The 26,823-nt window shown below is 44.6% G+C and overlaps 1 protein-coding gene and 1 pseudogene across 12 annotated transcripts in view, besides 2 other annotated features; both read right to left on the bottom strand.

Moving 5' to 3' along the window:
* Nucleotides 6,659-7,160: an enhancer, noted in NCBI's record as "H3K4me1 hESC enhancer chr17:28868427-28868928 (GRCh37/hg19 assembly coordinates)". NCBI's record gives its function as "activates a minimal SCP1, AML or CMV promoter by ChIP-STARR-seq in primed H9 embryonic stem cells {active_cell/tissue: H9 hESC(primed)}" and the evidence as "EXISTENCE:reporter gene assay evidence [ECO:0000049][PMID:30033119]".
* Nucleotides 6,729-18,883, bottom strand: ALOX12P1 (arachidonate 12-lipoxygenase pseudogene 1; annotated as a pseudogene).
* Nucleotides 11,603-12,152: an enhancer, noted in NCBI's record as "NANOG-H3K27ac hESC enhancer chr17:28863435-28863984 (GRCh37/hg19 assembly coordinates)". NCBI's record gives its function as "activates a minimal SCP1, AML or CMV promoter by ChIP-STARR-seq in naive H9 embryonic stem cells {active_cell/tissue: H9 hESC(naive)}" and the evidence as "EXISTENCE:reporter gene assay evidence [ECO:0000049][PMID:30033119]".
* GOSR1 (golgi SNAP receptor complex member 1) overlaps nucleotides 20,977-26,823 on the bottom strand; it is a 50,185-nt gene continuing 44,338 nt past the window's right edge. For all 12 annotated transcript variants that reach the window (XM_005258070.6, XM_017025374.3, XM_005258071.6 and 9 more), the window contains one exon: nucleotides 20,977-26,315. In XM_005258070.6, the coding sequence (XP_005258127.1) occupies nucleotides 26,191-26,315 (125 nt within the window). In that variant the 3' untranslated portion in view covers nucleotides 20,977-26,190. The remainder of the gene's footprint in view (nucleotides 26,316-26,823) is intronic.

The raw sequence follows: 26,823 nt of genomic DNA, 5'->3' as shown, positions 1-26,823 counted from the left end.
AGTGTGTTTGGGAGCGAACACGAGGGTGTGGGTCAGGAGGCCTGCGTGGATCAGGGCTGTGCTCCTCACCAGGACAATGGAAGAGCGACCCTGAAGGCATTGTGTGGATCACTCAGGCCGCACTCTCGTCACAGGCCCATGGTGCCAGGGCACTGACGGCAGTACGGTTTCCAAGAAAGGCCCTGGGGCGCCCTGAGGACCCCTGAGGACCTTGGGGCTTGCTGCCCAGCACTCCCTGAAGTCGCTGGTTCCCACACTGTGCTGTGGTGCTCCTTGGCTGCTCCAAGTGTTGCTCAATGGGCCCTGGTGGAGTGGGGGACATGCTATCACCCCTCCAGAGGACACAGGCAGAAAACTCTTTGGAGCATCCACGTGGTGCTCATTCTGCAGGTGTGCAGAGTGCAATAGCTGTGGGATATGGCTGCCTCCACCTGCATTTCAAAGTATGTCCCAGACAGCCTTGGGGTCAGGCAGAAAACTGCCACAGGGGCAGGGACACCACAGAACGTTCCCACTAGGGCAATGCCCAGCAGAGCCGTGGGGAAGAGGCTATCCCCAAGATTCCAGGATGGTAGAGCCAGCAGTGTGCAAGTCCACCCTGGGAGAGCCTCAGGCATCAAACTCCAACATGTGAGAGCTGCTGCCTGGGCTGCACCCAGCAAAGCCATGGGGGAAGAGCCACCTGAAGCCCTGGGCCGCCCAACCACATCCTAGTATATCTGGAACATGGGCCATGGAGTCAAAGAAGGTTCTCAAGTTTTAAGATTTAATGTTCTTTTCCCGGTTGGGTTTTGGACTCACTTGGGGCAACAACAACAACCAAAAACACCAAGCTGAAAGCAAAAAACACAAAATAAACACCTTAACCCTATCCCTCCATTTAATGTAATTCAGGACTCTAACCAAGAAGAATTTCTCAATTTCTCAGCAAAGCTACAGGGCTAATATTCAAACCCGCCTATAAGCAATGCTATTTCTTTTCCTTAGGTAATTATTTTCCCAGAACTCTATAAAACAACTAAAATATTTTTGACCAGAAATTAAACATATAAAAAAGACCATCTAGGCCTTTGCAGCATGCACCTCCAAACTCTTCCAGCCTCTACTCATTATCCACTTGCACATTTTTGCGTATTTTTTAGAGCAGCATTCCACTTCCTGGTATCAAAAATCAATACGAGTTTGCTAGGGCTACGGTAAGAATATACCACAGATGGAGGTCTTAAATAACAGAAATATTGTTTCTCACAGTTCGGGGTCCCAGAAGTCCAAGACTAAGGTATCAGCAGAATCGGTTTCTTCTAAGGCCTGGCTCCTTGGCTTATAAGTGGCCACCCTCTTGTCTGTGTCTCCATGTGGTCTTCGGTCTGTGTCTGTGTCCTCATCTCCTCTCCTTATAAGGACACCAGACAGATTGGATGAGGGCTCACCCATATGACCTCGTTTCCCCTTAATTACACCTTTAAAGGTCCCATCTCCAAACACAATCCCATTCTGAGGCACTTGGGGTTAGGACTTCAACGTATCAACTTGGGGGTGGGGGACACAATTCAGCCCATAACACCCGACTTCTGTGCCCCCAAAACTGCTTAGGCAGAAGAAATGATGGGGTGGCTCACCATGGTCCCTTCAAAGCTTCTGCCCAGAAATGGCACCTGTGACTTCTGCTCCACTTCACTGCTCACAGCAGGTAACATGGTTCACTTCAAAGGGACAGGGAGGTGCTATCCTACCATGGATTTAAATATAAGACCTCAAACTATAAAAATCCTAGAAGAAAACCTAGGAAATATCCTTCTCTACATCAGCCTTGCCAAAGAATTTTTGGCTACGTCTCCAAAAGCAATTGCAACAAAAATAAAAAGTGACAAGTGGGACCTAAGTAAATTATGTTGTAAATCAATAAATGTGATTGACTTATTGAATCGGCAAATGTACATTTATTGATTATAAATTTTATACACTTTATAATAAAGAGTTTCTGCACAGCAAAAGAAACCATCAACAGAGTAAACAGACAGCCTACACCATGGGAGAAAATATTCACAAGCTAGGCACCCAACAAAGGCCTAATATCCAAATCTATAAAAAACTTGAACAAATCAGCAAGCAATAAAAACCCCAAATAACCCCACTACAAAATGGGCAAAAGACATGAAAAGACACTTCTCTAAAGAAGACATACAAGTGGACAACAAGCATATGAAAAAATGCCCATCATCACTAATCATTAGACAAATGCAAATCAAAACCACATGAGATCCCATTTCACACTAGACAGAATGGCTACTATTAAAAAGCCAAAAAACAACAGGCACTGGTGAAACCATGGAGCAAAGGCAATGCTTACACACTGTTGGTGGGAATGTAAATTAGTTCAGCCACTGTGGAAAGCAGTTTGGAGTTTTCTCAAAGAACTTAAAACAGAGCTAACATTTCACCCAGAAGTACTATTACTGGGTATATAACCAAAGGAATATAGATCATTATTCCAAAAAGATGCATGCACTCATATGTTCATCGCCAAACTATTCACTATAGGGAAGACATGGAACCAACCTAGGTGTCTGTCAATGATTGAGTAGATAAGAAAAATGTGGCACGTATACTATGGAATACTACACCACCACAGAAAAGAATGAAGTCATGTCCTTTGCAGCAACATGGATGCAGCTGGAGGCCGTAATCCTAAGTGAATTAAGACAAGAACGTAATACTAAATACCACATGTTCTCAAGTGGGAGAGTGGGAGCTAAACACTGAGCACATGTGGTCAAATACATGGGAAAATTGGACAGTGCAGACTATTGGAAGGGGGAGGGTACAGGATGAAAAACTATCTACTGGGTACTAGGCTCACTACCCGGATCCAACATACCCATGTAACAATCCTACACCCGTACCCCCCTATATCTTAAATAAAAGCTGGAATTTAAAACAATATTGCTAAAAACACTAAAAATTTTTTCAGCGAGTTGTCATCTTTTTGTTGGTAGAGGGACTTGCCTCAATGTTTATGGCTGTTGACGGGTCAGAATGATGACTGCTGAAGGTGGGTGTGTGCTGTGGCAATTTCTTAAAACAACAATGAAGTCTGCTGCATCCATTGACTCTTCCCTTGAAGAAAGATTTCCCTGTAGCATGTGAAGCTATTTGATAGCATTTTTCCTACAGTAGAACATCTTTCAAAAGTGGAGTCAATCCTCCCAAACCCTGCCACTGCTTTATCAACTAAGTTCATGTAATATTCTAAATCTATGGTTATCATTTGGATAGCGTTCACAGCGTCTTCACCACAACTAGTTTCTATCTCAAGAAACCACTTTCTTTGCTTATCTGTAAGAGGCAACTCCTCATAAGTTCCAGTTTTCTCATGAGATTGCAGCAATACAGTCACATCTTCAGGCTCCACCTCTAATTCTAGTTCTCTTGCTATTTCCTCACATCTGCAGTTGCTTCTTCCACTGATGTCTTGAATCCCTTGTCATCCATGAGAGCTGGAATCAACTTCTTCCAAACTACTGTTAATGTTGATATTTTGACCTCTTCCTACCAATCCTGAATGATATGAATGCCATCTAGAATGTTGTCTTCTTTCCAGAAGATTTCAATTTACTTTGCTCAGATCCATCAGAGAAATCACTATCTATGGCAGTATCAGCCTCCTTGTGTACCTTTATCAGACTTCTTGCGTAACCAGGTGGATTATCAATGAGCAGGATATTTTGAAAGGTATATCTACATTTTCCAAGCAGTGGGTCCCAACAGTGAGTTTAAACTATTCTGCAAACCATGCTGTTAACAGAAGTGCTGTCATCCAGGCTTTGTTGTTGCACTCAAACAGCACAGGCAGAGTAGATTCAGCTTCATTCCTAAGGGCCCTGGTAGTTTTGGAATGGTAAGTGAGCACCAGATTCCAACTGTAGTCACCAGCTGCGTGCACTCCTGAAACGAGGGTCAGCTTGTTCTTTGAAGCTCTGAAGCCAGGCCTTGACTTCTCCTATCCAGCTGTGGGAATCCTAGATGGCAGCTTCTCCCAGTAGAAGGCTGTTTGGTTTACATAAAAATCTCTTGCTTAGTGTAGCGCCACCTTCATCAGTGATCCTAGCTAGATCTTCTGGATAAGTTGCAGCAGCTTCTGCGGCAGCACTTGCTGCTTCACCTTGCACTTTTACGTTATGGAGACAGCTTCTTTCCTTAAACCCCATGAACCAACCTCTGCTAGCTTTAGACTTTTCTTCTGAAGCTTCCTCACCTCTCTCCGTCTTCATAGAATTGAATAGAGTTAGGGTCTTGCTCTGGATTAGGCTTTGGCTTAAGGAAGTGTTGTGGATTGGTTAATCTTCTATCTAGAACACTCAAACGTCCACTCAAACATCCTCCATTATTAGCAATAAGGTTGTTTCACTTTTTTGTCATTTATGGGTTCACTAGGGTAGCATTTGTAATTTCCTTCAAGAGCTTTTCCTTTACATTCACAACTTAGCGACCTGGTACAAGGGGCCCAACTTTTGGCCTATCTCGGCTATAGACATGCCTTCCTCACTATCCTTAGTCATTTCTAGCTTTTGATTTAAAGTGAGGTATGTGCAACTCTTCCTTTCACTTGAACACTGAGTGGCCACTGCAAGGTTATTAAGTGACCAGATTTCAATATTGTTGTGTCTCAGGGAAGAGAGAGGGCCAAGGAAAATAGGAGAGATGGGGGAATGGCTGGTTGGAGGAGCAATCAGACACACAACATTTATCAATGAAGTTTGCCATCTTAGATGGGCACAGTTCATGGAGCTCCAAAGCAGTGACAACTGTAACATCAAAGGTCATCAATCACAGATCACCATAACAGATAGAACTACAACGAAAATGTCTGAAACATTGTAAAAATATCCAAAATGTGACTCAGAGGCACAGAGCACATGCTGTTGGAAAAAATGGCATTGAAGAACTTCCTCGAGGCAGGGTTGCCACACTATCAATTTGCAAACTGTGTTTTTAATATCTGGAAAGCACAAGAGATCACAGCACAATAAAACAAGGCATGCCAGGAATTGTTAAACTGCACTGTTAGGGACCAATGACAAGAAAAAATGGTCTTATGTGTTCAGTACAGATGCAACCATTATTTTAAAAAATCTTTTCCATCCATGATAGGTTGAATCCAGGGATGTGGAGGCCCAACTGTACATGATTTCAGCAAATGCATTTGAGTCTCTAGTGACAGAATTCTGTATTTTGTTCTTCACTATTATTTTAATGAACTCATTTTAGCAGAGTTCCTGATATTGCCTCTCTACAAGTCTATAACCCTTCATAGGCCAATCTTACCCAGGAACCCAGATGCAATACAGGCAAACAAACAAACAAACAAAAAACAAATGGAATCACAATACATAAAAGGACCCACTTGGATATATCTCAAAAATGCAAACTTGGCTGAAGTTGACATTTTTGTAATGCAAAAATTTTGTATTAAAATTTCTATACATACAATGTGATTCCAATCAAAATCACATCATCCGTTATTTCTGAAACTTAACAAAATAATTGTAATATTTATATGTTTAAGAAAAGCCAGAGCACCTGGAAAGAACAAATTGGATGAGTATGTCTTATCAAATAGTAGGCTGTGTTAGGTATAAACCCATAGTACTTACATCACTGTGATGCAGGGAAGGAAAAACTGATGAATGTAGCAGAACGGACAGTTCCAGTAGTAACATTTGTATACAGGAATTTGATTAATGTCAGCATTGCAGATTAGTGGGAAAGAATGAGTTTTTCTATGAACTGTGCTGGCATAACTGATTATCCAGATAGAAAGAAATGAAATTGCACCTCTATAGCGTGCCATATAGATAATCACTCCTAAACATTCTATGATGAATGGAGTAGGTAAATTTCCAGGGCCAAGGGAAAGCTACAGGAGTATATGGGTGATTTCTCTAAGGAATGTGATTGCAATGTGCAGATCGTTCTCATAGGGTCCCTGAAGGTAAGTACAGTGCCTCAGGCTAATGAGATACTCAGGTAGAAAAATCAGAGGAGGAAAGAAAAACACAGCAACTGAGAGCTAAGAAAAGACAAGATTCAGGAGGAAAATGTTCATAGTAATGATGGCCTAAGGTCTTTGAGGACCAGAATATTTGATCTCAGATAGTGATATGTTCTCTATGTAGCTGGGCTTCAGATAGTCATAGGGAAGGTCTAGTTTCTCATTTCGGGCCACAATTTCCCTTTCCAGGTTGTCCAGATCTGTTTGAAATTGTCTCAGCACAGCTTTGGGCTCAGGGCCTGAGACATATACTTTCTGATGCTCAAGGGGGTACCTGGGGCAGAAAAGAGGATGAATGAGCTCCTAGTTCCAAGACACAGGGACCCGGAATCCATCCCCGCACCCTGATATCTCCTCTGTAGTCTCAGAGGTCCCCTCTCACCACGTCCACCTGCCGCCAGCTCAGAAGCCACATGATGCTTATTTGAACATAGGATTGCCAGACATCAGGGAGTGACCTCATCACTGTGGGCCTTGTCGCATCTTGTTTGGTGGTGGGTGAGGGCATCCTCACTGAGCACGGGCCATTAGGGATCCAGGCATACCAGTCAAGCTAGAAGAGGAACCTGAATTCACCCTGAACCTTGATGTGTGGACACTAGCCCCCGGCTGTCTCTTTCAAGAACCCCCAGTCCAGACACCTGCCCTGACAGATGCAGGCTTTTGTTTATCCACGGCTGGCCCTGGTTGATGGCTGCATGGTGGGGGGTGCATGTGAAGATTCACATGGCGAGGAAACGGCAGAGCTGAGCTCGAGACTGGAAGGAGACAGGGAAACCTAGGAGAAGAATGAGCCAAGTTTACAGTCTGCAGCCCCAGAGGGGATATAAAAATAAATCCTCATGTCCTGGGACACCCAAGCCTTAGAATTAATGAGTGTTTATTCATTTATTCAAAAAGTATACAACTGCTATGTACCAGGCACTCTCTAGGCATTGGGAATACGTGGGTATACAAAAGTAACAAAAATCCCCGCCCTCTCAGAATTTAGATTCTAATAGAGAAGAAAGAGCATATATAGAATCATTAAAAATTAAAGTTACGCATAGTATGTTAGGGATAAGAATAGAAATAAAGCAGCAAAAGGAGATATGAACAGTCAGAGATGATCGCTGGTAATTTCGTTAAGGGAGCAAGCCTCAATGACAATCATCTGCAAAGCAGGGAGTGCTGTGGTCGGAGCACAGGCTGTGGCATCAGCTCTGGGTACAGTCCTGGCCCTGCTGCTGCCCAGCTGCATCCCCTTGGACCTGTTGCTCACTCTGTCTGAGCCTCAACATTTGCCTCTGAAAGTGGGGATAATATTAATTACCTTATACATCAGATGATGATATAAAGCCCCTCAGTACCTTATAGCTATGATTATTATGGTAGATTTTGAAGGATGAGGAAATCTGAGAGGCTGTGTGGTGGTCAAATGTTCCCTGTTAAAAAACAGTTTAAAATGAGGGAATAATAGGAGACAAAAGGAAAATGGGCAAAACGATTTTAAAGGGCTCTGCACAAAAGAAGATGTCCATGTGGCTACTCAGCCTAGGAAAAGGTGCTCAGATCCACTGGTCATTGAGAGAATGTGAGTTCAACTCACAACATGATAATGCAGCATATTCACCACAACAGCTAAAGTGAAAACGACAGAAAATGCCAAGTATGGCTGGGCGCGGTGGCTTACCCCTTTAATCCTAGCACTTTGGGAGGCCCAGATGGGTGGATCACTTGAGGTCAGGAATTTGAAACCAGCCTGGCCAACACAGTGAAACCCCATCTCTACTAAAAATACAAAACAATTAGCTGGGTGTGGTGGCAGGCGCCTGTAATCCCAGCTACTCAGGAGGCTGAGGCAGGAGAACTGCTTGAACCTGGAAGATGGAGGTTGCAGTGAGCTGAGATCATGCCACTGCACTCCAGCCTGGGTGACAGGGTGAGTCTCCATCTCAAAAAAGAAAAGAAAAGAAAAGAAAACACCAAGTATTTGAGAGGATGTGAAGCAACTGTAACTCATATTCTTCTGGAAAAAGTGGAAATTGCTGGAACTACTTCAGGAAACTTGTCAGTAACTACTAAAAGTGTATATGCACATAACCTATGATCTACCAATTCCACTTCTAAGTATATACCCAACAGAAATGCACATACAACCATGTTCATAGCTGCACTGACGTTGTTAGCCTCCAACTGGAAACAACCTAAATGTCCATCAATAGCAGAAAAAAATAATAAATTGTGCCATACTTATATAATGGGATACTTCACAAAATGAAAATGAAGAACTATCTGCAACAATGTGGGTAAATCTTAAACCTATTGCTTAGAGAATGAAACCAAGCACAGGTGAGTGAGTGTTTTTATTTGCATTTATGTCAAATTAAAAAGTAACCTACGCTGTTAGAAATCAGGACAGTGGTTACCTTTGGATCAAAAGACTAGGAGAAAATACAAGGAGCTTCTGGGAAAGCTGCTAGTACTGTGTTGATTGATATGAGTGCTAATCATATAGGTTTGTAACCTTAGGAAAAACATATCAAGTTGTACACTTAGGATTTATACAACTTTTCTGTAAGTTTGTTTTATTTCAGTGAAATCTGTCTCTGACACCCAAAGTAGTTAAGAATACCGAAGCATGCCCTCCTATTCCCAGGAGGTTTTAGGCAGTGGTTTTAGGTATCTGGATTATAATGTAGAGAAATAGAGAGGTCCTAGACTCATGTCAAAGACAGTAAGGAAACTGGAAATCAACTATTCCATTCCACTCAATTTACATGTGAGATGGGCATCAGAGAATTTAATGACTTCCATCATGTGGCAGGGCCTGGGCTCTCCTACTCCACATGCGTATTGGGGAGGTAGTTTTTGTAGAGTGGGGCATATGATAACAATCATCTTATGCCAACTGTACTACCCACACTTCAACAATGTCACGTTCATTATTTATTTGGTCTCAAAAATCTGAATGTGTGTGTGTGTGGTGGGGGGGGGCATGCAATACATCCATTTTAGAGATAAGGAAACCAGAACTCAGAGATTAAATAGCTTGCTCAAGGTCACTTAGCCAAAAAGAGGACCATCCTAGTCCTTAAAAGAAAAATTTTAAATCTCAGTAAGTGACACTCATTCCTAGTTGAAAATGAACAATGTAGAGAAAGATGAGTCCTGTAGAACCCGCATGAACCAAGCCCCTTCAAGTGATAAGTGAGAAATATTAGCCACTTTGCTCTTTACTATTCAAAACACTGATCCTTGCCATTATAGACTGGAAGGTCTACCTTATTAATCATATGTATATTGTAGTGGCTTATATTGGTTTGTATTTTCTAGATGATAGACACAAAGGAAAGAAATCTGAGTAAAATATAATAAAATTAGGTAGCTATTGTTCATTTAAAGGATCATCACCTAAGTGCTACCATTTGAAGTCCCATGCAAGTTTGTGATTCATGTGTCAGGACTGTGCCATTACTGTTACGTAGATTTCATTGGAATTGCTGGTTTACCGGATAATTTCTAAGTGTCTTTGATATCATTTACTTCCTTCTTCTACTCCCATCAATGGAAGCTGAGAGACGTATATACGTATTTGTTTTCAAATTTCCTCAAATAAATCTGACATGCATGCTCTGTTAAATGCTCCTTTCAATTGACAGTATTTGTTTGGTAAAATATTACGGTAAAATAAAAATAAAAATAAAATAATTGTTCCATGGTTAAATAAATTTGAATTGAACATAGCGGGGATGAAAAAACCACTTGGCTGGTGCTGGGATAACTGGCTAGCCATATGCAGAAGATTGAAACTAGATCTATTCCTTACACCATACACAAAAATTTACTCAAGACGAATTAAAGACTTAAACGTAAAACCCCGAACTATAACAATGCTGGAAGACAACCTAGGCAATACCATTCTGGGCATAGGAATGGGCAAAGATTTCATGATGAAGACACCGAAGCAATTGCAACAAAAGCAAAAATTGACAAACAGGATCTAATTAAACTAAAGAGCCTCTGCACAGCAAAAGAAACTATTAATAGAGTGAAGAGACAACCTACAGAATGGGAGAAAATTTTTGCAAACTATGTATCTGACAAAGATCTAATGTCTGGCGTCTACAAGAAACTTAAATTTATAAGCAAAAAGCAACCCCATTAAAAAGTGGGCAAAGGACACAAACAGACACTTTTCAAAATAAGACAATACATGCAGCCAACAATCATATGAAAAAAAGCTCAACATCAATGATCATTAGAGAAATGCAAATCGAAACTACAATGAGATACCATCTCACACCAGTCAGAATGGCTACTATTAAAAAGTCAAAAAATAACAGACGGTGGCAAGGTTGTGGAGAAAAAAAGAAAGCTTATACACCATTGGTGGGAGTGTAAATCAGTTCAACCACTGTGGAAGACAGTGCAGCAATTCCTCAAAGACCTAACAAAAGAAATGCCATTTGACCCAGCAACCCCATTGCTGGGTATATACCTAAAGGAATATAAATTATTCCATCATAAAGACACATGCATGCCTATGTTCACTGCAGCTCTATTCACAATAGCAAAGACATGGAATCATCCTAAATGCCTATCAATGGTAGGCTGAATAAAGAGAATGTGGTACAGATACACCATGGACTACTATGCAGCCATAAAAAAGAACAAGATCATGTCCTTTGCAGGAACATGAATGGAGCTGGAGGCCACTATCCTTAGCAAACTAACGTGGGAACAAAACAAATACTTAAAGTGGGAGCTAAATGACAAGAACACATGGACACATAGAGGGGAACAACAGACACTGGGGCCTATGGGAAAGTGGAGGATGGGAGGAGGGAGAGGATCAGGAAAAATAACTAATGGGTACTAGGCTTAATACCTGGGTGACAAAATCATCTATATAACAAACCCCTGTGACAAAAGTTTACCTATATAACAAACCTGCACAGGTACCCCTGAACTTAAAAATAAAAGTTAAATTTAAAGAAAATTAGCACATTGCCTTTTCCTCAGGTGATGACAGAATGGTGAGGTAAAAAGAGTATTGAATATGGCGCAAGAGAAATGGGGAATGAGAGGTTAAAGTTTATGTGTAAATATGTATTGTACAATCTCTAATGTGGCTATTTCATGGGGAGAAGAGAGCCAAGGAGAAAAATAATGGTCTTTTGGGGCATGGGTTGCCTAAAAGAAAGAACCTAGAAAACTCGAGAAAGTGGCTGGGCGTGGTGGCACACACCTGTAATCCCAGCACTTTGGGAGGCCAAGGCGGGTGGATCACGAGGTCAGGAGTTCAAGACCAGCCTGGTCAAGGTAAGGCTGAGGCAGAAGAATCGCTTGAACCCAGGAGGTGGAGGTTGCAGTGAGCCAAGATCACACCACTGCACTCTAGCCTGGGCAACAGAGCAAGACCTCATCCCAAAAATAAATAAAAATAATAAAATTAAAAAAAATCTCCGGGAGGGAGGTGGGGGGGGCAGCCCCCGCCCGGCCAGCCGCCCCGTCCGGGAGGGAGGTGGGGGGTGCCTCTGCCCGGCCGCCCCTTCTGGGAAGTGAGGAGCCCCTCTGCCCGGCCACCACCCCGTCTGGGAGGTGTACCCAGCAGCTCATTGAGAACGGGCCATGATGACGATGGCGGTTTTGTCGAATAGAAAAGGGGGAAATGTGGGGAAAAGATAGAGAAATCAGATTGTTGCTGTGTCTGTGTAGAAAGAAGTGGACATAGGAGACTCCATTTTGTTCTGTACTAAGAAAAGTTCTTCTGCCTTGGGATCCTGTTGATCTATGACCTTACCCCCAACCCGGTGCTCTCCGAAACATGTGCTGTGTCCACTCAGGGTTAAATGGATTAAGGGCGGTGCAAGATGTGCTTTGTTAAACAGATGCTTGAAGGCAGCATGCTCCTTAAGAGTCATCACCACTCCCTAATCTCAAGTACCCAGGGACACAAACACTGCGGAAGGCCGCAGGGTCCTCTGCCTAGGAAAATCAGAGACCCTTGTTCACTTGTTTATCTGCTGACCTTCCCTCCGCTATTGTCCTATGACCCTGCCAAATCCCCCTCTGCGAGAAACACCCAAGAATGATCAATTAAAAAAAAAATATATGGAGAAAGTTTGGTTCTTGAAGGGCCCAAAGGGTGGGGTGGGATGGGTAAGGTGGTGTAGCCCCAGGTCCTCCAGGGCAAGACTCCCCTTTAAGGCAGGGGTTAATTTATTGATATGGGCGTCCCCGGGGCCTGGCCAGTGGGTGTTTGCGTTTTCCCACACAGGCAAAGGGTGGGACTCAAGGTGTTGCTCTGAAGGATGAAGGGAGAGAAGCTGAAGGATGACCTGAAACAATCCTGGCTGGCCCATGTGTGCGAGAGAGAGGAAAATGAACCTGGGAAGGGCCCAAGAAAGGCTATGTCTTCTCCATAAATAAAAATGCAGTGGGCGGGGACAAAAGGTAGCAGCTAGATCCTAGGGAAGGGACTGACCCAAGCGTCAGGGCATTGAGTTCAGGTTGGAGCCAAAGCATATACAGTATTGAGATGGCCTCTAGAGCTGGCCTTGCACTGCTGCGAGGGTGCAGCAGGTCTGTGCCCTTCGTGTGTGCTGGACAGTAGCAGGCAGGAGGGGAAGGGAGGGAAAGCCAAGGTAGGTCACTCTGAGCTTTGGAAGGGAAAATCTCCCTGTTTGCATCCTTAGGTAAAAAGCAGACAAACGTGAAGTGAGAACATGAGCCCCAGCAGGGACCGGCAGACCCCCTCACAGCTGTGGCTCTGGCCTGGTTGGGCCCCAGGATATGGCAGCTCAGGGGCATCTGTGACTGGGGTGGGGTGGGGGTAGGGTTGATGGCCAGGGTCTCCGAGGAGGACAGTCCTCAGGTCTCTAGAAGTGTCCTGAGTCTGGGGAGGTGGGAATGGGATGCAGATGCTCTCCTGTGTGGAGGAAGGGAGGTGTGAGGAGAGGGTGGGGTCCTGTCCCCAGAAGGGCAGCACTGGGAAGGGTCCCTGGCAGAGTCTCCCAGGAGCTCCTATCTCTGGGACAGATCTTACCTCGGTCCTGGGCCTGGCACAGCCCCACCTCCATGATCTCCTGATCCCAGGCCTGCAGCTCAGGGTCCACCCTCACCGTGTCATCCCTTTGGTGGAAGAGGTGGACGATCTCCACACACCTGCCCAGGGGAGAAGGCGCTGAGCCTCGGAGAGCAGGAGGCCCGGCCTCTGACCTCTCCTCCTCTTTCTGTGACATCTGCCCAATGCTTTCAGTATATCTGGATAGACCTCACAAGACGTGCCTTCAGGACATCCTACTGGGTAATAATCTCCCAGGGCCTAAAGCATCATGGGTATGGACAGCACGTGGGAGTCCCAGCAGGCCACAGGCAGCCAGGTCATCAGGACAACAGAGGGAGCAGCAGGTCAGCTGAGCCGCTGCCCAATGGAGCAACTGCACATGGCCCCCTCCACCTGTGCTCACTGCCTGGGACAAGAGAGATGACAGGTCTTGAGGGATGGGAGCACAGCTGGAGAATGAGGACATGCTATAAAGGGGGTTCAGAGGTGGGGTTTTCATATTTAAAGTCATGGCTATAAAAGGGATAGGGCTCAGGGGCTTAAGCTTCAGGACGTTCACACAGGTTGGCCTGGGAGATCTTGAAGCTGGCAGGACAGAGATTGTTGGATGATTAGGTGGCCTCATGCCCCATTCCCTTCTTACCCTAGCAAATATTCCACCATCTGAGATGTGTTGGGATCAGGTCCAGATGTTGATTTCCATGATGTAGTAGATATGGGAGATCAGGAGCTGGCGAGGAGATTGGAGGGGTGGTGGGTGGAGACCATGCTTGGCTCGTTCCTGGGAGGGCCCATTACACAGCATGGAGCCTTCTCCTCTCGATGCTTTCCTCCCCGCTGCTGCCTTGACAGACTGGTCTGCTGCTGCCCTGACACTCACGCTCGCGCTCTCCGACTTCCTTGTGCGTAATGCCCCAGAGTCAGACTGACCTGGATTTGAGTCCATGTTCACCTCTAATTTCGATACTTGGCGATATAATAAACTCTCCCAGTGTCAATCTCCTTATCTGTCAGTGGGAGGTGATAACCAGGTCTCTTATTTCAGGCACTGTCGTTATGTTTATGTCCGTGATGTACAGAGAGCATTTTTAGCACAGTGCCTTGGGTACACAAGTCCTCAAATAGCAGCTGTTATCATTACCTCTATTATTTCCACCTTGAGTACAGCTGCCCTTTAAGAATCAGCCCCTTAACGTTTGATTTTTTATATACCTCCTCCATCATTCACATCCTTATAGCTTAAACTAGCCTCTGCTTATTTTCAAAGCTGTTCCTCCAATCTCTGATCATCTTACTCTTATTGTTTATATTGAAGTGGTGTTGAGTACGGTGGCTTCAGTCAGAATTCATGGAGCAAAGCCAAGCTATTCTCATCAAATCTTCCCTGGCCCCCAGTTAGATACTATTAGGTTTCCTCTTTCCTGCTTTTCTTTGACTCTTAAAAAAGGGGTCCCTGATTCTCGCATTCATTTTTTTATTCTTAACCTATTTGGGGCCAAACATGGTGGCTCACACCTATAATCCCAGTTCTTTGGGAGGCCAGGGCAGAGGATCACTTGAGGCCAGAAGTTCGAGACCAGCCTAGGCAACACAGCAAGCCTCTGTCCCTAATTAAAGTTAAAAATTAGCCAGGTACACAGGTGTAGTGGTGTATGTCTAGACTAAGCTACTCAGGAGACTGAGGCAGGAGGATCTCTTGAGCCCAGGAAGCTGAAGCTGCAGTGAGCTGTGATTGTGCCACTGCACTCCAGCCTACGTGACAGAGCAATACCCTGTCTCTAAAAAAACAAAAAAAGAACTATTTTGTTTTCATTTTCAACTGGTTCATATGCAGGATTTATGCCATTGGTATCTATCTAAGGTCTTTAATGCCGGACACACGGGACCGGCCCAAAGAATACTCTTGAGGCAAAGATATCAAAGCAGCTCACGTTGGCTTGAACCTGGAAAACTCCATGGAAAGATGGTGAATGTCATAGAAAACCCAAAGTCCAGATGAAGTGGGTAGATACCCAGGATAAGCAACTAATAACAACAACATGGAGTGAGTTGGCTGAAGGTAAAAAAAAGAATAAAAAATAATAACAACATACCCAAGGATAAACAACTAACAATAATAACATATTGCTACATAGTAATAGGAAAGACTCACCTATCGCTCCTATTTATCCTGAGTCACACTGCCTGTCCTGTCGTTTAATCCCTTAACAACCTCACAATGGAAATTCTGTTATCTCCATTCAGAGATGAGGACCCTGAAACACACACCTGTTAAGTACTGAGGACTCAGACTCCAACAGTCTGAGTCCAGAGCCTGCACAGGTCACTTTTATGATATTTGTGGGCTTAGCCCTCCTCTGTGTCTTGACAACAACTCAGCTGTTTGCCATAGGAGGAAGTGGTTATGCGAGGGAGATGAGTGAACAGAGGGCTGAACTAGTGAAGGGGGATTCTGAGATGTGAGAGTGGGCTTAACCTATTCAACCTGGGCACCAGGTGGTGAGGCAAAGGCAGCATGAACGCAATCAAGTCTAAGATTCCATAAAGTATATTAATGCCTACCTTATCTATGTTCTCTCAGACCCAGAGGGACCACAACTAGTAATAGCCAGATTTGGGGGTGGAGGTGGTGACCAGCAGCAGAAACACAATCCAGCTGTCCTGCCTGCCAGGCGCTCACTTGCATATCTTGCCAACTCTTCGAACTCCATGCATCTAAAACAGAACACCTCATCTTTGTCCCCGAAACTGCCTCCTTCTCCTGACTTTACTGTTTCTGACCACTGCTCTGGTTCATAAGCTTATATCATTTTGCTCCCTTTTTCTATATATAAAATGTCATAAAGATTTTGAAAACATGTTTAAGCAAGCACAAGTTTTACTTTGCTGCTTTCTGCCTCGCAATAGATAGTAGACTCACTGTTTTGTAAAATGTTAGTATTTCTAGGGAAGTACAACATGCCCCCCGTAGGCTCCTAGGTGTTGAGGAAGCTTACATCTCCATTCCATCTTGGACACAGGCATGCTGCAGCTACTCTTCCCCCATCACCACGTATTTGATTTTTCTCTTCCATCCTCCTGTCACTGCCATGCTAATGTCTTTATCTACCTCTCTCCTTAGTCAGGTATGAGAAACCCGCTGGGCTGCTCGCCTTGCCCTTTGGTCTTCTACCTAAAGACTCCCCACTTGTGGTGGAACATTCTCCATAGATACTATAGTGATTACAGCTATTTCTCTTCATCTCAAACTCTGTTTCTAGATTGTGGTAGTCTGTTTTGCATTGCTATGAGGGATTATCTGAGACGGGAAAATTTACTAAGAAAAGAGGTTTAAGTGGCTCATGGTTCTGCAGACTGTACAGGAAGCATGTTGGCATCGCTTAGCTTCTAGTGAGGCTTCAGGAAGCTTTCAATCATGGTGGAGGGTGAAGGGGGAGCAGAGCAGGCACGTCACATGGAGAGAGGGAGCAGGAGAGCAAGAGCAAGAGCAAGATCTCTTTTAAACAACCAGATCTCGTGTGAATTCAGAGTGAGAACTCACTCATTATCAGGAGGACAGCATGAAGCCATGACCCAAACACCTTCCACCAGGCCCTGCGTCCAACACTGGGGATTACACTTCAACATGAGAAGTGGAGGGAAAACATCCAAACCATATCACAGATACTGTTTTGTTTTTTTCTCATATGTACTGCCTGTCTTTCATGATAAATGATAAATCTCCCAATGCAGATGCAACACTTTTGCTTAATATATTTGTATTCCTACTCTACTCAAGACCCACTACTAGAGAATTTCAGAGAACCACCCTACAGTATGTACTGGATAAATGCTAAGTGACTTGACTTAATGGGATAGATGGGATCTCTTTAGTATTTCTAACAACTGCCTGTGAGTCTATAATTAGCTTACATTAAATTAATTTAGACATTAAAAGTACAATCACAAGGCTGAAGGCCCTGGCTCAATTATCCATCTCCTCTCGCCTCCATTTACAAATTGCCATGAAGATTCTCTGCTGTAATATCATATGGATGTTTGTGAAATTTCAAGCAGCTCTGTTTACATGTTGTCCCAGGTGCCTCAGATTTCTTTAAAACTAGGCAGCTGTTGGGTTGTTGCTTTGGGACACGGAGAGTGGTGGAGCTTGTACCTTGAAGACAGGGCGCAAACGTGGGAGGCACATTATGGTGACAATAGCAATGACTTCAGCTACGAGATGAGTGTTCAGCAAATAGTATCGGAGCTTGTGCAGTTGGAATCGGAGTTTCAGATCCAGGATTTAGCCAGGAGCCAGGCAAGCAAAGGATTTGAGGGCAGGAACAGTATTGGGGTGGGAGAGCTGAAGCTGGGAGGGTGAAGCCAGAAGGAGGAAGAATTAAGCATTTATTCACCTCTCCCCATATGGATGATGCTATGCTGAGTGTTCCGGGGGGAACATATGGCTAATGTAAGATTATTGCCTTCCAGGTAGTATGAAGAATGAAGACCCCTCCACCCTGCCTCTCACTATCTGTGGTGCCCTGTGAATACAATGATAGGTTAAGTGCAGGAGAGAATGGTAGAAGGAAGCCAAGTAAGGCTAACAGTGCTTTGGGAGAAATGTCATGAGGGTCTGAGTCAGGATAGTGGAATGAGAAGGAGAAGCTGGATGTATGAGATAACTGACAATCCCTGTCCACTCACTGTGTGAACAATAGGAGTGAAAAAAAAATCATTAAAACCAAAAGGAGAAAACATGTTTAAGAAAGAGGGAATGTTCAATAGATTCAAAGGTCACAAAGAGGTTGAGTAGCCTCAGGATGAGAACCAAGAGATGCCGTTATGACTCTCAGAAGGTAGTTCCAGGTGAGGAAGGACAAGACAGCAAGCAGTCACTGGGTGGCTGAACACAAGGACTGGACCTGCTGAGTGGGGGTAGCTTTGGGAGCCAAAAGGCAGGAGGCTGGGTCCCTGGGAGCAGAGGTTAAAATGAACAGAGCACAGTGTAGGCAGGGAGGTCCAGGGCCCTCACCTGGATGACCATGGGTAGCAGCTTCCCAGGAGGCTCCATCTTCAGCATGACGAGGGCTGCAGCCTGGTACTGCTTCCCTCTTTGGATCACATTGGCTGGAATTCCATCCAGCGGGATGAAGTCAGCCTGAAACAGGGATCTGTTCTGTGGAAAGGAAGAGTGCGTGGATGGTTAGAGTTCAAAGACTACACCTGGAGGGACAGGGCAAAGGGCAAGTCACTTACATTCAACCTAGCTTCTTGCCATCATCCTCCATCAGTACCAGTGTCCTAGTGGCAGAGCTGAAGGAAGCATCCAGAGCATCAGGTCCAAGTCCTCTCATTTCACGGTGAGGAAAGAGGCCCAATGAGGGGAGTCTTCTCCAGGGACATGCAGCTTTTTTGTGATGAAGGTAGTTTTAGGACCAGTCCTGTCCAATCCATGCATACTAAGCTCTCTTCTTGCCCAAGTGTCCAGGCCTCTTTCTCCTTTACATCCCATTGTCTGCTACCCAGTATGATTGTAACCAGCCTTGTGTTTTTTTCCTTACATATTTTATCATCTCTAGATTTCTCCAGCACAGGACCCTGTACCAAGGTGCAGTGGGTTACTGCAGCCTCCTTTCCTCTGACTCCTATTTGGTCTCTTCCCTTCCCACCTCTCCTTGCCACAGTCAAGGAGAGAACATGAAGGGTTGGAGGAGACACCTGGGGTTCTTTCTCCAAGTATACCTGAAGCTCCTCCATCCCAGAGGCCAGCACCAGCCTGGAGGGCAGACAGGTGGAGCAGTACTGAAACATTAACAGGATTGAAATAAGTGGAGGGAAATATCATGATATGAACCGAAGGAGTCAATACTGTAACGATGTTCATTCTCCTCCAATTGATCTATATATTTAGTATAATACCAATCAAAATCCAGCACGTTTTTCTTGGAAGCTGACAAAGTGATTCTGTAATTTATATAAAAATGCAAAAGACCAAGAATAGCCAAGACAACCTTGAGGAAACAGAACAAATGGGCAGGACCTGTACTACCAGATATCAGGACTTATTGTAAAATTACAGTAATTCAGATAGAGTGGTATTTTCTCAAGGGTAGAAAAACAGACCAATGGAAAAGAATGAAACATCCAGAAAAAGACTCCCACCTAGACAATTGCTTCACTCATGACAAAGCTGGTGCTCCAGTGCAGTGAAGGAAGGATGACCTTGTCAAATGGTGCTGGATCAATTGCATATCCATATGGAAAAATGAATCTTGACCCCTGCCTCAAATCATACATAGTAATTAGTTGCACAATATTTATAGTTCTAAATTGAAAAGCAAAATAATACAGCTTTTAGAAAAAAAAAAAAAGGAGAATATCTTCATGGCATTGGAGGTAGGCAAAGATTCCTTAACAGGATACAAAAACACTAACCACAAAGGAAAAAAATTGATAAATTGAATTACATTAAAATTAAGAACTTCATCAAAACCACCATTAAGAAAGGAGAACAAGGCCAGGCATGGTGGCTCATGCCTGTAATTCCAGCACTTTGGAAAGCCGAGGTGGGCGGGACCAGCCTGACCAACATGGTGAAATACATGAAAATTATTTCACCAACGTGGTGAAATACCAAAAATACAAAAATTAGCCAGGTGTGGTGGCCCGCACCTGTAATTCCAGCTACTTGGGAGGCTGAGGCATGAGAATCGCTTGAACCCAGGAGATGGAGGTTGCAGTGAGCTGAGATCACACCACTGCACTCCAGCCTGGGTGACAGAGCAAGACTCCATCTCAAAAAAAAAGAAAAAGAAAAAAGAAAGTATGGCTGGGTGCAGTGGCTCACACTTGTAATCCTAACACTTTAGGAGGCCGAGGTGGGTGGAGGAGTTCGAGACCAGCCTGAACAACATGGTGAAACCCCATCTCTACTAAAAATACACAAAAATTAGCTGGGCATGGTGGCACATGACTGTAACCCCAGCTACTGGGGAGGCTGAAGCAGGAAAATTGCTTGAATCTGGGAGGTGGAGGTTGCAGGGAGGCAGAGGTTGCAGTGAGCCGAGATCACACCACTGCACTCCAGCCTGGATGATAGAGTGAGACTCCGTCTCAAAAAAAAAAAAAGAGGAAAGAAAATAAACGACAAGTCACAGAATGGGAAGGTATATTTGCAACATATTTATTCAACAAAGGAAAAATTAACTGGAAAAAAACAGTCGGATTAATCAATATGCAAACATCTGAAGGGATATTACATAAAGAAAGATATCCTAACAGCTAGCAAGCATGTAAAAATGCCCAACCTCGTTAGCTATCAGGGAAATGCAAATTCTGACTGGCATCATTAAGTGTTGCTGAAGATGTGAAGGAAATGGAATATTCACACATTACTGGTAGGCACGGGCATTGGCACAATTGCTTTGGAAAAATGTCTGACAACATATCTTAAAACTGAGTATGTGCATCACCTATAATCCAACAATCTTATTCCTAGGTATAAGCAACAGAAAAGTGTACATGTGTGTCCCAAAACCCATGTTCGAGAATGTCCAGAGCAGCACAATTTGTAATAGTTCCAAACTAAAAATAAAAGCTATCGGTCTAGAATGGAATGACTAAATAGAATGTGTGTACTTATAGAGCGTGGTTCTCCACCTCTGGCATGCATCAGAACCGCTTGGAGGCTGGTTAAACTGATTGCTGGGTTCCACCTGTCTATCTACACAGAACCGACCTTATATTTCCCCGCTCAGCTGCCTTTATCAAAATTAAGGATGTCTGCTGATCACCTCTTGAATGTTCTCTCCTCTCCCACATCAGCAAGAGGGAAAAAAAGAGGCAAAAGAGGCCCGGTTTCTCGCTATTAGGACAAACCCAAGGATATCTCTTATGTCAGGTGAGCCCTGTACCCCTGGCTTTGCTGAGATGCTTATGAGCATTTCCTCACATAACCCTGACAATATAATCAGGGCACAATTATGGTAGCCATCCTTATCACCATTTTATAGAAGAGGAATTGATCACTGGCTGGATTAATTGCAAAGCTCTAAAATTAGACAGTGGGGCTGGTTGCACAACTAATGTACTAAAGCCCAGCAGTACACGATTTTTAAAAAATTAATTTATTTTTGAGACAGGGTCTCTGTCACCCAGGCTGGAGTACAGTGGCACAATCGTTGCTTACTGCAGCCTTGACCTCCTGGGCTCATGATCCTCCTACCTCAGCCTTCCGAGTAGCTGGGACTATAGGTGCACACCATCATGAATGGCTAATTTTAGTTTTTGTAGAGACAAGGTCTTTGCTGTGTTGCCCAGACTGGTCTCAAATCCCTGGTCTCAAGCAATCCTCCTGCCTCGGCCTCTCGAACTGCTGGGATTACAGGTGTTAGCCACTGCACCCAGCCAATTCTACAATTGTAGATTCCCATTATGCCTCCTGAAGTTTCATGTTAAGAGATTCCCCTTCACTTCTAGGGCTAAAATACTAGTGGACTGTTCATATGATGGTTTCTGAATGACATGTGACAGCTTTTCAGCACCTGTATTATTTCATCCTGGGTTTCAGGACATCATGAGAAACACTTATCAACACCAGAGATACCATAATCTCTATCCCCAAACTACCTTGATGGTTACTGTTTCAATATAAACAATTACAAATGCAATCATTTAGATTTCTAATTTATTATTAAATTACATACCAAAGCTTCTTCTATACAGTCAGAAAATGCACATTTAGATGAGAACAAAAATTAAGTACAAATACAATAAAATTGGTTCCAAGAAGCTATTTTAAAAGCAAAAACTTACAAAGTGCATTTGGAAAACAATAGGTTTTAAAAATCTGTATTGGCATTTTTTCAAGAGGAAACATCTTCCATCACAGGAAAGTATGGTTGGAATTGATTTCCCTCCTCCCTTAAGAGCTAACAGGGTGGGAATGGATGCAAATACCTTGATATTAAAGTGAGCTCTCAGGTATCTTTTAATTTTTTTTGCAGAGACAGAGTCTTGCTACATTGCCCAGGCTGGTCTCAAACTCCTGGCCTCAAACGATCCGCCTGCCTTGGTCTCCCAAAGTGCTAAGATTACAGGCGTGAGCCACTGCACCCAGCCCTATTGTCATGGTTTTTCATATTTTTTCAGTGAAATGAAAAGTTTTGAGTGGTTACTTAAAAGGACCAAAAAGGAAAGATTCATTATAATAAGACAATAGTTGAGGGGGCATAACTTCCCCTAAGAGGTAACATTTGGATCCAGAAGTAGAAAATTCCTTCTGACCTCCTGGCTGTGACTAGCATTAACAAGTAACTAACTGTTAGCCTCTGAATCTGGTAACTGGTCCGTAAGGAGGACAGCAAAAAAGGAGAGAAAGCCAAGGTGGTTAAACAAAAAAGTTAAATGACATGGAGCTGAAAGAGCTCAAATCCCTTCATGGGATCCCCACGGAGCCCCTTCCTGTGGACACACACCTCTCTTCCCTTGCTGGAGGTTTCTTTCTGCAAAGAAACCCTAAGAGGAAAAAGCACTGGCCTAGCTGTCTACATGTGGCCCTGGGTCACCTTAGTATAGGCTGCAGCACGGAGAGGTTAGTCAGACCTATCTGACACCAACATCCATACCAAGCCTTTTAACTTCCTTGGAAGAACTGGTTTATTTTCATAAAGAAAATAACCAACATAATTCCATTACTTCACATAAGCAAAACCCTAATGGAAAGGCCCATCAGCCATCAACAGGGTTTGCTTGGCTGCAGTGAGCTAGACTAGCTTGTGTCCCAGTTCACTCTCACACAATCAGCTTTAATGAATGCACAAAAGAATCAGACCAGTAAAAAAGACTGGTAGTATAATTAAATAAATAACTTTATTTATGATACTTCAGATTTTATAAATGCCAACTACATAGCAAAGTCCCATAAATTTTAACCGAGACACAACCACCAATCAAGGCCCTTTGAAAAATCAAAGATAATAAAGTGTCAAGGGAGAAAAGTTTTGTTCTCCCAACAGAGAATTTAATCAATGAACTTACTTCTCTGATCATTTAAGGTTCACAATGGGAAAACTTCTTTTCTTTTAAGGGTACCCTGAATCAATTAACAGTCAATCAACCCACATTTAGAAAAATAAACCCCATAGTTAAGAAAAATATATCAAATGCCCTTCACACCCATAATGTAACAAAACTTTGACACCAGAATGAAAAACTTCTCAGTCTCTGTACCAAACCAGGTGTTAGTCCACCCATGAGCAAGTTCGCCTGAATAACAGCATCTATACACCATGATGTAGCTGAGAACTACAGCTGATATCCTTTTATTGCCTGTGGCTCGGACTGAAGCCAATACTATAAATACCACAGTGAATTCCAATGGTGAAGAGCAGCAGTGTAGATGTTGGAAGTCTACAAACCAGGCTGTAGTTCAGTAAGACAAGTCATGAATTTACAGAAACTAAGAAATGGTTAACTCGAAAAGAATTCTGGTGGCTGGCTTAAAATCTGTCACTGTCCAGGGATGGTAACAGAAGACAGGTGCAGAGAGAGACAGATTCTGCCACATGCACCCTCAACAGTGAAACCATTCTCTGGATGTTTGGAAATGCTTAACAGATTTGGAATGAACAGATTTTCACAGAACTCAGGATTCCTGGTACATCAGGCAGTAGTCCTTAAACTTTTGCCCATACGTTGTGGAGCATTTACAAAAGCAATTCTCTGGACAGTGAGCCCTCAATGCCTTTTTATATGTGGCTTCTTGAATAGATCACATTAGAAATTGAGCAGTCCCCTTCCTCAGCTACCAGTGTCAATGCTGGTATGAGGAGGAGCAGTGGGGGCACTGACAGACACTGGTGATTCGTTTCTTTTATCATAGTGGAACTGAGATTTCATTTCTTTTCAGTAGAAAATATTAATCCAAGGGAAGAATTAAAAAAAAAATGGAAACAATGACTGGTGCCTTAAATATAAGACTGTCATTCTTGATGTTTTTCCAGCAATACAGTTAACCCCAGTGTACTTGTAATTTAAAAGAAAAAGACAGTTTTACAGTGATCTCCATTTCAGACAACCTCAAACATGCTGAAGCTGGTCCATCAGCATCTCAAAGAATCTATGAAAAACAGAATTTTCCCCAAATATCAACAGAGTTGAGGAGACAGAGTAGAAATCTATAGCACAGATCATCAAGAAAGAACTTGTGATTTCTCATTATGAGTGTAAAATAAGAGGACAAGAATTATTATTATATTATTTTTTTTTTAATTGATCATTCTTGGGTGTTTCTCGCAGAGGGGGATTTGGCAGGGTCATAGGACAATAGTGGAGGGAAGGTCAGCAGATCAACAAGTGAACAAAGGTCTCTGGTTTTCCTAGGCAGAGGACCCTGCCGCCTTCCGCAGTGTTTGTGTCCCTGGGTACTTGAGATTAGGGAGTGGTGATGACTCTTAAGGAGCATGCTGCCTTCAAGCATCTGTTTAACAAAGCACATCTTGCACCACCCTTAATCCATTTAACCCTGAGTGGACACAGCACATGTTTCAGAGAGCACCAGGTTGGGGGTAAGGTCATAGATCAACAGGATCCCAAGGCAGAAGAATTTTTCTTAGTACAGAACAAAATGAAAAGTCTCCCATGTCTACTTCTTTCTACACAGACACGGCAACCATCCAATTTCTCAATCTTTTCCCCACCTTTCCGCCTTTTCTATTCCACAAAACCGCCATTGTCATCATGGCCCGTTCTCAATGAGCTGCTGGGCACACCTCCCAGATGGGGTGGTGGCCAGGCAGAGGGGCTCCTCACTTCCCAGTAGGGGCGGCCGGGCAGGGGCGGCCGGGCAGAGGCGCCCCCCACCTCCCTCCCGGACGGGGCGGCTGGCCGGGCGGGGGGCTGATCCCCCCCACCTCCCTCCCGGACGGGGCGGCTGGCCGGGCGGGGGGCTGACCCCCCCACCTCCCTCCCGGACGGGGCAGCTGCCCGGGCGTAGACGCTCCTCACTTCCCAGATGGGGTGGCTGCCGGGCGGAGGGGCTCCTCACTTCTCAGACAGGGCGGCTGCCGGGCGGAGGTCTCCTCACTTCTCAGACGGGGTGGCCAGACAGAGACGCTCCTCACCTCCCAGACGGGGTCGCGGCCGGGCAGAGGAGCTCCTCACATCCCAGACGGGGCGGCGGGGCAGAGGCGCTCCCCACATCTCAGACGATGGGCGGCCGGGCAGAGACGCTCCTCACTTCCTAGATGGGATGGCGGCTGGGAAGAGGCGCTCCTCACTTCCTAGATGGGATGGCGGCCGGGCAGAGGCGCTCCTCACTTTCCAGACGGGGTGGCGGCCGGGCAGAGGCTGCAATCTCGGCACTTTGGGAGGCCAAGGCAGGTGGCTGGGAGGTGGAGGTTGTAGTGAGCCGAGATCACGCCACTGCACTCCAGCCTGGGCACCATTGAGCACTGAGTGAACGAGACTCCGTCTGCAATCCCGGCACCTCGGGAGGCCGAGGCAGTCAGGCGTGGCGGCGCTCGCCTGCAATTGCAGGCACTCGGCAGGCTGAGGCAGGAGAATCAGGCAGGGAGGTTGCAGTGAGCCGAGATGGCAGCAGTACAGTCCAGCTTCGGCTCGGCATCAGAGGGAGACCGTGGAAAGAGGGAGACCGTGGGGAGAGGGAGAGGGAGAGGGAAGAATTATTTTTATTCACAATCCAATCTGGCAGCTAAAAGAAAAGCAGTCTTTGGATGTAGAAACCTGGTTTTCTGAAGAGCCCAGCTGTAAGACCTGGCTTGTCATTAGGCTTCAACACTATCATGGAAACACAGAAAACTCTGTTTTTGATTGGTTTACCTGCCTCCTAGGGAGACAAAAGCAACTGAAAACCTTTTTTTTTTTTTTTTAATTAAAAACAGAAAAATGTGTTAGAAAACACAGCACAGAGAAACTGTGGCTTCAGCTCAACCTGACCATGTCACAGAGTCCATCACTGTCAGTCTTGCATTCATCCTGCTGGTCAGGCTAATTATCAAGACAGTCAACTTCTCCCTCCGATGTTTCCTTATTCCAGACCAGGGTGTGAAAGCGGTGGCTGTCAAGAGTCCCTGAAGATGTCCCATCAATGGAACGCATACAGCAGCAACAGGATGGTACAGATCCCAATAACACCCCCTAGGATGAGCGAGTCCCGCCGCTTCCTCAGGTTGATCCTCTGGATCAGGCTGTTTACAGCAGGAAAACGATCTTTGGGAAATCTTTATTAAGGTCATATTTGGAAGAAGCCTCTCTGGCGAAAAGTCGTAGGAATCACAAAAATAGAGATCAGTGGTGTCTAGAAACAGTGATGAAAGGCATGGGGAAGAAACTCACACCAAGGGAATCTTTAGCAGATGCAGTTGCCCAAACCGGGAACGCGCTGCGGCTCAAGGCCCCTAACCAATACACATCTCCCAGTCTTGTGTGTAACACAAATAAGAATAGTAATAGAGAGAGAGGGAGAAGAAAAGGACGATGACAGTTCCCAAGCACTGAGGGCTTACTGCCAGGCTTCAGGTCAGGGTGGGAGCCAGCGTGGCCAGGAATGGAGGAACTCTGGCAGGGAGGCACAGGCATAGCCAGCTCCCATCGCCACCACCACCCATTTCCCTCCCTTTCCTCATTTTCCTTCTCTTTTCCTCTTCTCTCAGGAGACTGGGGAGTTCTGCCTGAGAGTTTGAAGAAATACCTGATCTTTTCCCGCCTTAGATTCAGG

Source organism: Homo sapiens, chromosome 17 (genome assembly GCF_000001405.40).
Source record: "Homo sapiens chromosome 17, GRCh38.p14 Primary Assembly".
In the NCBI taxonomy this organism is placed as follows: domain Eukaryota; kingdom Metazoa; phylum Chordata; class Mammalia; order Primates; family Hominidae; genus Homo; species Homo sapiens.
This window is presented reverse-complemented; position numbering and strand designations above follow the sequence as displayed.